This window comes from Homo sapiens, chromosome 1 (assembly GCF_000001405.40).
Source record: "Homo sapiens chromosome 1, GRCh38.p14 Primary Assembly".
NCBI lineage: Eukaryota > Metazoa > Chordata > Mammalia > Primates > Hominidae > Homo > Homo sapiens.
Genome location: NC_000001.11, coordinates 28,008,764 through 28,021,190, shown reverse-complemented (window position 1 = coordinate 28,021,190; position 12,427 = coordinate 28,008,764). Strand labels below are relative to the sequence as shown.

General features: G+C 39.0%; 1 protein-coding gene across 17 annotated transcripts in view; it reads left to right on the top strand.

The window, feature by feature from the left end:
• Positions 1-12,427, top strand: part of EYA3 (EYA transcriptional coactivator and phosphatase 3) — a 118,267-nt gene that overhangs the window by 67,420 nt on the left and 38,420 nt on the right. For all 17 annotated transcript variants that reach the window (NR_104214.2, XR_007096080.1, NM_001282562.2 and 14 more), the window contains 3 exons: positions 3,952-4,037; positions 7,897-8,080; positions 10,105-10,244. Coding sequence is in view for 15 of the 17 variants with exons in the window: in NM_001282562.2 (NP_001269491.1) it covers positions 3,952-4,037; positions 7,897-8,080; positions 10,105-10,244 (410 nt within the window). In the remaining 2 variants the exon portion in view is untranslated. The remainder of the gene's footprint in view (positions 1-3,951; positions 4,038-7,896; positions 8,081-10,104; positions 10,245-12,427) is intronic.

The window sequence follows — 12,427 nt, the reverse complement described above, 5'->3', positions numbered from 1 at the left end:
CTTAAAGAAAGACAGTGTGAGCAAAGGAGGTGAAGTGACATGATCTAAAATTAGAGAGGTGGGTAAAAACTAAATCTTGCACAAACTTTTATGTGCCATTAATGCTTGAATTAAACTTTTAACTTTGTAGCACTATCACTTGGTGCAGCTGTGCCACTTACCATTCTGTAACCGTGGTCTTCTGTTCAAAGCTTTATCTGTATATTGTCTGTTTTAAGCGGACATCTAGTGGGGCCTGGTTCTCAAAAGTGGTGTCTTTCAAGTTTTTGCAGCTCCATTGTCAAAACAGGAGTGAAGGCTGTCCAAAAACAGTTGACCATGCCATTAGCATTTGGAGAGCTAGCAGCCTTTAGATACATAATAATAGGAGCCAGCACTTGAGTTTTATTTGATTCTCTAAATTTGTAGTTTTTGTTGCATAGTTCATTGTTGCTGCTTTTGTTTTTAAACCTGCAATTGAATATTATTTTTATTCACACACACACACACACACACACACACACACACACACACACACACACACGATGATCTGTATTTTTTTAAAAGTGCCTGGCTTTTTAGTCATAGCTGTATGTGGGGTAGGGCAGGCAGTGGTTGTATACATTTTTAGGCGAGTTTGCCTTGGGTTCTATGGTGGTTATAAGAGCCTAAAAAAATTACTTAATTATTGACTAACTTCCCTCACTAGAATTTAAACTCCTTGAGGGCCAGGACTTTGTCTTACTATTTTATCCTTCAGTGGCTGAAATGGTTTCTAGGCACATAGTTGACCCTGATATACTTAATGGGTTTGCTGAATGAATGAGTGGCACATGTTAGAAATAATTTGGCTTAGTTGGAGAAAAAAGTGTTATTAAGCCCTATGAACTTTCTGGGTCAGCAGACCAAGTTCCCCTATAATAAAAGCCAACTATTGCTCAGAGAAATTTGTGATTTTAATACAGTACTTGTTAAAAACTCAGAGTTATCAACTAGCTAATCAAGCCATTAAACTTTCTAGCCGGGATATAATAAGAGTTTATGGCTAGTTGTTTTTAAGGTCTACCATTTTACCTCCAGTACAATTCATTAAGTGGTTTGAAAATTGTTAGATTTGTAAAACCACCTTGTCAATCAGAGTACATTTTCCCCCATAGAGATCAGATATGACTGAGTTGTACCTCCCACCATTATTAAGTTATGGAGAAGTAGCCGGGCGTGGTGGCTCATGCCTGTAATCCCAGCACTTTGGGAGGCTGAGGTGGGTGGATCACCTGAGGTCAGGTGTTCAAGACCACCCTGACCAACATGGTGAAACCCATCTCTACTAAAAAAAATGCAGCATTAGCCGGGCTTGGTGGTGCATGTCTGTAATCTCAGCTACCTGGGAAACTGAGGCAGGAGGATTCTTGAACCCGGGAGGCGGAGGTTGCAGTGAGCCGAGACTACCATTGCACTCTAGCCTGGGCAACAAGAGTGATACTCATCTCAAAAAAAAGAAAAAAAGGATATGGAGAAGGTAGGACAGAATTAAAGATCAATAGGTGAAAAAGAGGATTGTATGCCAGGACCAGGGCCAGAAGAAAACTGAACTAAAAATGGACTTGCTGGGGAAGATAAATGATTAAATCAATTCTTTATTTTATTTCCCACCTTAAATCACCTGTGTTCAGTTTTATTGCAGGCCTGCCTAGGATAATGTACTGATAACAAAATCTGGAAACCATTCAAAATTCTTTTCCTACAAGAATGGTTAAAACCATTTACAGAGTCAGTTACCCTGTATATTGTCATGTTTTGATGCTTCCTCTTAGGAAAAAGGATGGCTTAAGCCACAGTAGGAAAGAAGGTGAATATTGGTTGAAAGAAAATACCTTCTGTAAAGCTATAAAACCTATTTCATTTAGTTGTTATGTTTAGGAAAGTAAGCCCTTAAGAGTCCTTTAGTTCCCCTGAAGCAAAACGTGCTATAGAAAATAAAGTTACTCTGGATAGTTAGGAAATTTGTTTTTGTTTTTGTTGTTTTAATTTTTTTTAATTTATTTTTTGAGACTGAGTCACTCTGTCGCCCAGGCTGGAGTGCAGTGGCGCGATCTCAGCTCACTGCAACCTCTGCCTCCCGAGTTTAAGTGATTCTCCTGCCTCAGCCTCCTGCATAGCTGGGATTACAGGTGCACACCATCACACCTGGTTAATTTTTGTATTTTTAGTGGAGATGGGGTTTCATCATGTTGGCTAGGCTGGTCTCAAACTCTTGACCTCAGGTGATCCACCCACTTCAGGCTCCCAAAGTGCTGGGGTTACAGGCGTGAGCCACCACGCACCTGGCCATAGTTAGGGAATTTGAACCCTAGCTTAGCTGCTGACCCTGAGGAAGAAGCACTGGATGAAGAATTGGGAGATCCAAGTTGTCATTTTGGTTATCTTCCATTATTTTTGCTGCTGTGGACAAGTTACTTTAATTCTTCTTTGTCCTAGGTTCTTCATCTTAAAGCTGGGGTTGCAGCAATAGCTGTAACTGAACTTACTGTCTTCTGGATTGTCTTCTAAGCCGAGTACCCTTAGGGAAAGGGATGAAAATTATCTAATTTTGACCAGAGCACTTAAGTTTCTATTGCATTTGTTCTCCTGCCCTGTTCTCAATGGAAGTTTTCTTACTAATTTTCTCTCTGGGGGACTTTGTTAATGGGGCAGGTAGTCAGTTAGTCAGGTCTACCTGATGGTGAACCCATATGGTGTGTGTACCTGCAGTAGGAACCATGTCTAAGTGTGTTTATGATAAATGAGGACAAGGAGTTTGAGAACAGTACTGATAATATCAGTTACATTGTTCACCTGAGAAAAGTCACTGGTTAGTGCTAGTCATTGAGATTTTGATTAAAACCCTAGTAGAATGAACCTATGACAGAAGAAGTATAAAACTTAACCCAAATTACTTGTCTTTATTTTTATTGTTTTATGTGAATGGAAATCAGCATTTTCTTTCTTTTTTTTCTTTTTTCTTTTCTTTTTTTTTGAGACAGAGTCTTGCTCTGTCACCCAGGCTGTAGTGCAGTCATGCGATTTTGGCTCATTGCAACCTCCACTTCCTGAGTTCAAGCGATTCTCATGTCTCAGCCTCCTGAGTAACTGGGATTACAGGCCCGTGCCCACCATACCCAGTTCATTTTTATATTTTTAGTAGAGATGGGGTTTCACCACGTTGGCAAGGCTGGTCTCAAACTCCTGGCCTCAAATGATCTGCCTGCCTCGGCCTCCGAAAGTGCTGGGATACAGGCATGAGCCACCACACCTGGCCTCAAATTACTTAAGACAGCCCAAGTATCATATAAGGTACATTTTTATCTGACCAGAGTAATATTTAATATTTTCTGAGTTTTTCCAGGCTCATTGTTAAAGTCTCTAAATGCTATGTCATTGTGTTTATTGATCCACATTAGTAATCTATTATTTGAGTAGAACTCAAGAAGCAATTCTAAATGCTTTGGAATTTGGAGGACCAGCTCTATTTCTCATGTAATTATGTTGTATTAGGAAAGGCGTAACTTGGGGCAAGTGACAGCAAACAATATCACAGTGTAAGATTTACCAGAGTTCTACTGCTTTACAGTAGGTCACATTGCAGGTGAGTCATTTTTCAGCCTCTGGAGAAGATGGGCTGGAGGAATTGGATTTAGCTGTGATTTCATTGATATTATTAGTATGAGCTGTGAATTGAATATATATCCTTTTAGGCCTTTAATAAGAAGAATTGAAGACTCAAGTTGAAACAGAAAGATGTTTCAAATGTTTTGTTTTTAACCAAGTGTAAATGTAGCTATCCCACACAAAAAAGCAAAACGAGTGTTTGTTTCCTTTGCCAATGTTGTTTATCTCCTTATAAATCTGTTCACTTAAAACACATCTATTTTCAGTTTCTTCTAACCTTTTACATAATATCTTTAATATCTTTTAACCCCATCAATCCTCTAGCTTCAAGCACAAATGCCAGCCTGATATCTACTTCTTCTACAATTGCCAATATTCCAGCAGCAGCAGTAGCCAGCATCTCAAACCAGGTATGATGCTACCTTTGTTCATCCTGTTTGATAGAGTTCATCCAGCTTGCTCTTTCTTCTTTCCATGGTCAATTTGCCTATCTAAGAAACAACCAGGAATAGTATGGGCTGTGGAGACTTTTTTCTGGATACCTTCAGAACTCGGACCCTGGATGGCATCTTAGGTTACTGTCTAGTTTTTGTTGTTCCTCTGCTGGGTCTCTCTAGAATATGGTTATGTCTGTTTCTTTACTGTATTTGTCTTCACTTCCTACTCTGCCCCTACTAGAATGTAAGCTGCATGAAGGTAGGGATTTATTTTTCTGTTTTGTTCATTTACATATTCCCAGAGTATAGAAAAATGCCTGCCACTTACATCAAAGGCACTTGATAAATATTTATGGAATGAACAACTCATTCTTTATGAATTTTTTGTGGTCTATTCTTGATCACTGTTATGTTAACTATGCTTAGGAGATCACTGGTAACACCTTCAGTGTTCTAGAGTTTTTTATTTTTGTTTTGATTTGTTTTCTCTACAGCAATTATCATCACCACTGTCTCCTTGGATCTTTTCCTGGCTACAGTTAACATTACTATTCTGGTTATTATACTGGTTTTGCTTTTTTTTTTTTTTTTTTTAAGATGGAGTCTCACTCACTCTGTCGCCCAGGCTGGAGTACAGTGGTGCGATCTTGGCTCACTGCAACCTCTGCCTCTCAGGTTCAAGTGATTATCCTGCCTCAGCCTCCTGAGTAGCTGGAACTATAGTCATGTGCCACCATGCCCAGCTAATTTTTGTGTTTTTAGTAGAGATGAGGTTTCACATGTTGGCCAGGCTGGTCTCAAACTCCTGACTTAGAGTGAACCGCACCCGCCTTGGCCTCCCAAAGTGCTGGGATTACAGGTGTGAGCCACCGCGCCCAGCCTTGTTTATTCTTTTAGTCCACAAATATTTATTGAGTTCCCACCTGTGTACCTGGTATTTTTCTAAGGACTGTCTCTTTCTCTCTCATAGCTCTTCTTTTTGACCCTGTCTTTGAACGTGGACAGTCTCTATTTGGTTTTTCCACATGTTAATTACTTCATCCACAGGGATGTTTAACCACATAATGTCCATTTACTGTCACCAAAGATTCTAATCCTCCCTCATGATAATTACAGCTTCCAACTGATTGACATTTTTTTCTTTAATGTCTTGCTGTTTCCCTAAGTTCAACATATGTAAAATCAGACTTTTATTCCAGCCCTTTTTATGTCTCTTTGTCTTCCAGAAGTAAAACCACTTTTCCCTGACTTCTTAATTCTTATTAGTGATACTACATTTTTCTTAATAAACCTAGGCCTAAAACCAGACCAGATATCTTCCATTATTTTTCTCACAACCTTACCCAATCTGGTCATTTCTCAAAATCTTTGAGAAGAATTTCTTTTGCTTTTTGCTATCGTCTCCAATGTTTTGGTATTTTCCCTTTTAATCCTGAATTACCATAGTTAATTGCTCATTTTATTTCCAGTTTTTTCCCCCTTGTGCCTGTTCATTCTCTAAAATACTATCTCATTAATTTTTTCTAAATCCCACTTTTTGTCATGTTACTGACCTGCTCAGAATATTTTCATGTTTTTTGTTTGTTTGTTTGTTTTTTGAGACAGAGTCTCGCTCTGTCACCCAGGCCAGAGTGCAGTGGCGCAATCTCTGCTCACTGCAAGCTCCGCCTCCCGGGTTCACGCCATTCTCCTTCTTTTCATGTTTTTATTCGTTGGTTTGAATTTGAGAGTCCCCATTCCCTATTCCCTAGCCCACAGGCTATATACTATTGCCTAAAGAATCCAAGTCTTATTGCTTTACCAATCATTCAGGCCTACAGAGGTCCTTTGTTTCAACCAGACTCAGCATCTGTGGTCCCTGAATAAAATCTCCTCAGAGCCTATTCATGTTCTTACTTTCTCTGCCTATTAATCTCAGAAAGCTTCTTCACCATCATACTTTACAATGATAGTTGTCTGTTCTGTATTTCAGTCATTTGACATATATTTTATTGCCATTTTGTTGTCTGTCTTCTCTCCTGCTAGATTTTTAACTCCCTTGAGTTCTGCTAGTGTGACTTATTCTTTTCTTTAATATTTCCTTCTTCTGCCCATGCACAAATACACACATACATATAATTATATTTGGTTTATGGTAGAGATACCCAATGACTAATTAGAAATAATGTATCTGATCAGTTAGCTTTTTCCTACTTGCCATCATTATCAGTGTCAATGGAATTTTTTTAGCTGCGTATTTGAACTGTCATACCTAGTTTTTTTACAGCTTTATTAGGGAGTAATTGACATACAGTAAACTACACAGATTTAAATTGTACAGTTTAGTAAGTTTTGCCATATATGTGCCTATGAAACCAAAAGTTTTATCCCAATATTTTAAGAAACCTTTTTTTTTTTTTGAGACAGAGTCTTGCTCTGTTGCCCAGTCTGGAATGCAGTGGTATGATCTCAGCTCACTGCAACCTCTGTCTCCCAGATTCAAGCGATTCTCCTGCCTCATCTTCCCTAGTAGCTGGGACTACAGGTGCATGCCACCATACCTGGCTAATTTTTGTATTTTTAGTAGGGGCTGGGTTTCGCCATGTTGGTCAGGCTGGTCTCAAACTCCTGACCTCATGTGATCTGCCTGCCTCAGCCTCCCAAAGTGCTGGAATTATAGGCGTGAGCTCCCGTGCCTGGCCTTTTTTTTTTTTTTTTTTTTTTTTTTTTGAGACAGTGTGTCACCTAGGCTAGAGTGCAGTGGTGCAGTCTTGGTTCATTGCAACCTTTGCCCCCTGGGCTCAAGTTATCCTCCCATCTCAGCTTCCCGAATAGCTGAGACCACAGGCGTGCATCACCATGCCTGGATTTTTGTTTGTTTGTTTGTATTTTTAGTAGAGAGAAGGTCTCACTATTTTGGCTAGGCTGGTCTCAAACTCCTGAGCTCATGCGATCCTCCCACCTCGTCCTCCCAAAGTGCTGGGATTACAGGCGTAAGCCACTGTTCCCGGCCAGGAAACTATTTTTAAAGAAAACTTGATTGTTTTAGGTAGATAATCAGGTTGTTTTTTGTTTGTTTTGTTTTGAGACAGGGTCTCGCTTTGTCACCCAGGCTGGAGTGCAGTGATGCAATCTCGGCTCACTGCAACCTCCGCTTTCCAGGTTCAAGCGATTCTTGTGCCTTAGCCTCCCAAGTAGCTGGGATTTCAGGCATGTGCCACCACGCCAGGCTAATTTTTGTATTTTTAGTAGAAACAGGGTTTCACCATGTTGGTCAGGCTGGTCTTGAACTCCTGACCTCAAGTGATCCACCCATCTTGGCCTTCCAAAGTGCTGAGATTACAGGCATGAGCCACTGCACCCAGCTGATAATCAGTTTTTAAATTAAGACATTTTAATGTAGGATATGTGCTTTTTTTGTTTGCTTAAGTTTAAGTTTTGTTTTGTTGTCCTTAGAAGTGCTATTATCTAGTGCAACAGTTTGTAAACCTCTTAGAGTAGAATCTTTCCCTCAAATTCTGTGCAGAAATTCGGTACATAAAACTGGGGGAAGAGGCTGTTAGAGTACAAAAAGGGACACCATGTGTATGTTTATGAGAGTACAGAAGACCCTTCCCTCTCAGCATTTCCTCATTCCAAGACTGCTCCTGGGACATCTCTTGACTTAGGTTTCCACAGAATGCATTTTGAAAATCATTGATTTAGATTGGAGACTTTTAGGTAGGTAAATGAGAAGTCAAATTAATGTTTTAGAAAAATAATTATGAATAAGAAAGAGGGAGAAGAAAGCCTCTTGTGTTGAGATTAATGTATGCTATAAGAGTCTTGTTTTCTTATTTCCTTTGGCCTGCAGGATTATCCCACCTATACTATTCTTGGTCAGAATCAGTACCAGGCCTGCTACCCCAGCTCCAGCTTTGGAGTCACAGGTCAGACTAACAGTGATGCAGAGAGCACCACATTAGCAGCAACCACATACCAGTCGGAGAAGCCTAGTGTCATGGCGCCTGCACCTGCAGCACAGAGACTTTCCTCTGGTAAGCACCGCAGCTCTGAAAACTTTGGCTTAAGGTCACTTCATCCAACAGTTGTTTTTAGGCAATGGTAAGGATGATTTTGTTCTGTCTTAAGTCATTGTTACCATGCTTTTGGCTTTCCCTCTGAGGTGAGGAGTATTGGAAGCAGGCTGTGAGTCATTGGTAGGCTGAATGTATACCTGATGCTGAGAACGGAACAGAAAAGTATCAAGAACTAAAAGACTCTTTCTGACTCGTACTCTACCCTCCCTGTAGCTTTAACCCACTTGCCACAGGGAGCTTCAGCATGTTATAATATTTTGTAAAAGTTGGAGGACTCCAGTTTTAGTCTTGCGCAGGTTTTGAACTGCTGCTAAGGCCTCAGAGCCATAGTTCTTTCTATGTCCAGGATCCCTTTAAGATTCTGAGGAAAGCATGGTCCTTTTCCCTCAGAGAAATATATACAATTTAACCTACAATTTCAGTATGCTCACAGCTCTGAAGTGTATCAATGAATTACAGTGTCCAACTTAAAAACCTTTGACATAAAAGATTAGACACACATTTAATAAACATATATATACACACACTTTTTATTTATATTTAATGAAAATTTGGTAGTTGGCTTTCACATCATGTGGTTCGAGGAAAGCACTGTTTATCATTGGCACTGATGCATGTTTAGAAACAGTACTATATAACAAGTGAACAGTTTTCTGTGCGGTCACCCTACCAGTCTAATAAGTGGACATACAAATGGTCGCCACTTCAAACTTACATAAATTTGAAATAATTACAAGTGTTGATTAAAAACTAAGGTTTTAAAGTCATTTTTCTAAATATCTTTGTTATAACAATTTTAACTTTTGAATATTGGAGAATTTCAAACATAGAGAAAAGTTGCAAGGCTAGTGTGATGAACACTTACATATCCATCATTCATCTTCAACAGTTATCAACTTATAGACAATTTTGTTTCAGCTATACATCATCTAGCTCCCTCCCCAGATTCCAGGCATTGTTCTCTAAAAGATAAGTATGGTACTTATTAACATAACCACAATGGCATTATCCCATCTTTAAAAGTTCAATATTAATAATGTCTTAATTTTGTATTATCAAGTACCAAAATGTATTTGTATTTCCAGCTTTCTCATAAATGTTATGAGTTTTGTTTCCCTTTTGTTTAAAGTAGGATCCAACCCATTCCACAGTGTATACATATTTCAAAACAACATAAAGCATATACAGTTTTTATCGCATTAGTAAATAGAAATAATAAATAAATAGAAAATTTGAGGAGGGAAAATTAGGATCCAAATATAAGGTCCATAAATTGTGATTGGTAATTATGGGTATTTTGTGTTTCATCTCTATTTTAACCTATAAATCCTCCCGTCTCTTTTTCTCCCCCTTGTAGTTTGTTTGTTGAAGAAACTGGAGTGTTGATCCCATACTGTTTCCCAGTCTGAATTTTGACAGTTATATCCTCATAAGGTGGTTTAACATGTCCTGCTGCCTTCTGTATTTTATAGTAAATTGGTGAATGAACAGTTGTTTTCAACTGTTGGCAATGTATGGAAACATTTTTGGTTGTTACACTAGGTGGGGCGGTGCTTCTGGCATCTAGTGGGTAGATGCTAAGGATACTGCTTAACCAAACATCCTATAATGCACAAGACATCCCCCCACAACAAATAATTATCTGATCCAAAATGTCAGTTGTGCCAGGTTGAGAAACTCTAATCTACAAGTTTGACCATGAAGATTCAGGTTCAGCTTTTTCTTGGCAAAACAACTTCATTGATATTTTCTTCTATCATGGGGTAAGCATATAAAGTCTGGTTATAACTTTTCTGATGTTAGCCAGTGCTGATGCTCAATGCCTAGATGTACACTTCATAATTGCTTACATAAGGTTTAGCTTTCCAACCTTTATCCCTGCATTATGACTCACAAGGGCAGAGAGTCCACTAACCCTCTTCCTGCCCTGATTCTTATAGCCTGTGACTCCTGACAACATATGTTTCACTTTTTCTTTCCAGGAGACCCTTCTACAAGTCCATCTTTGTCCCAGACTACACCAAGTAAAGATACTGATGATCAGTCCAGGAAAAACATGACTAGCAAGAACCGGGGCAAGAGGAAAGCTGATGCCACTTCTTCCCAAGACAGTGAATTAGAAGTATGAGAAGAAACTGATTTAGTTACCTACTTTGTTCTTTCTCACTTCTTAAGTTTATCAAACATGTTTTTGAAGCTCACAGAGATAATGTGCACTATGTTATGTGCCCTTTAATTCCTGAGCAAAATAAACTAAATTGGCCACGTTAAAAGAAAAATGTAAAAAGAACAAATTATTCTGTATATTCCAGAAGAGAACAGAAACAATTCATCATATTCAGAAAGCAGAGGGAGTTACAAGTAAAGTCATACTGTTCTCTATTTAAAATTTTAAAAGGGTCAGGTGCGGTGGCTTACATCTGTAATCCCAGCACTTTGGGAGGCTGAAGCGGGAGGATCGCTTGAGACCAGCCTAGGCAACATAGTGAGACCCCCATCTCTAAAAATATATATATACAAGAATTAGCTGCACACCTGTAGTCCCACCTACTTGGGAGGCTGAGATGGGAGGATCACTTGAGCCTGGCAGGTTGAGGCTGCAGTGAGCTATGATCGGGCCACTGCACTCCAGCCAGGGCAACAGAGTGAGACTCTGTCTCAAAAAGAAAAGAAATTTAAAAGGAAAGGACTAGAGTGCTTTTAGCCAAGTTTCTGTAAGGCGCAAACAGATCTGGTAACTTATTAATGAGACTGGTGCTGATTTATTCTGTAGTGTAAGTACTATATGAGTTTATTATGGACATACATTTGACTTCATCATTAAAGACATAAAGGTCATGCAGAGTGCTAAAATTAGTGGAGTTTTTGTATTATCTTTTTGTTTTCTGTTTTCCGTTTTTCTATAGTGCTATTATGTACTGAGGGGAAAATACATATTTAACTATGAATCCATTGATAAGTGCTCTTAAGACATAGGTGAACTGAGCCTGTATTTGAAGCCTTTTCTCTTTTTTCAGAGGTTTGGAGTGAAGAAGAAAGAAAGAAAAAGTAAATTTCTGATATATTTCTTAGGAAAAACTGATAACTCATTTTTTAATTGTCTAAAATATACATAAAATTTACCATTTTAGCCATTTTTAAGTGTACAATTTAGTGTCATTATACATTCTCAATATTGTCTAACCATCACCACTGTATATTTCTAGAACTTTTTCATGATTCCAAATGAAAACTCTGTACCCATTAAGCAGTAACTCCCCATTCTCCCCTTCTTCTAACCTCTGGTAACCTCTATTCTACTTTCTGTCTTTGACTTCTTATTCTAGATATCTCATATAAGTGGAATCACAGAAAATGTATCCTTTTGTGCCAGACTTATTTCATTTACCATAATGGTTTTTTGTTGTTGTTGTTGTTGTTGTTGTTGTTTTGAGATGGAGTCTCAGGCTGGAGTGCAGTGGCACGATCTCGGCTTACCGTGACCTCTGCCTCCCGGGTTCAAGTGATTCTCCTGCCTCAGCCTCCAGAGTAGCTGGGATTATAGGTGCACACCACCATGCCTGGCTAATTTTTGTATTTTTAGTAGAGACAGGGTTTCAACATGTTGGTCAGTCTGTTCTTAAACTCCTGACCTCGTGATCCGCCTGCCTCGGCCTCCCATAGTGCTGGGATTACAGACGTGAGCCACCATGCCCTGCCTACCATAATGTTTTTAAGGTTCATCCATGTTGTAGCACATACCAGAATTTCATTCCTTTTTATGTCTGAATATTTTATTATATGTATATACCACATTTTGTTTATCCATTCATCTGTTGATGGACACTTGGGGTTTGTCACCTTTGTGCTATTGTGAGTAATGCTGCTTTGACCATTGGTGTACAATTATCTATCTGAGTTCATCTTATCAATTCTTTTTGGTATATATGTAGGAGTGGAATTGCTGGATGCTATTGTAATTCTGTGCTCCACTTTTTGAGAAACCACCAAACTATTTTTCATTGTGGCTGCACGGTTTTATACTCTTACCAGCGATACATAAAGGTTCCAGTTTGTTCACATCCTCGCCAACACTTGTTATTTCCCATTTTTTTGATAATAGCTATTCTAATGGATGTGAAGTGGTATCTTATTGTGGCTTTGATTTGCATTTCCCTAGTGCAGTGGCACAATCTCGGCTCATTGCAACCTCTGCCTCCCAGGTTCAAGCAATTCTTGTGCCTCAGCCTCCTGAGTAGCTGGGATTACAGGCACATGCCACCACGCCTGGTTAATTTTTGTATTTTTAGTAGAGACGGGGTTTCA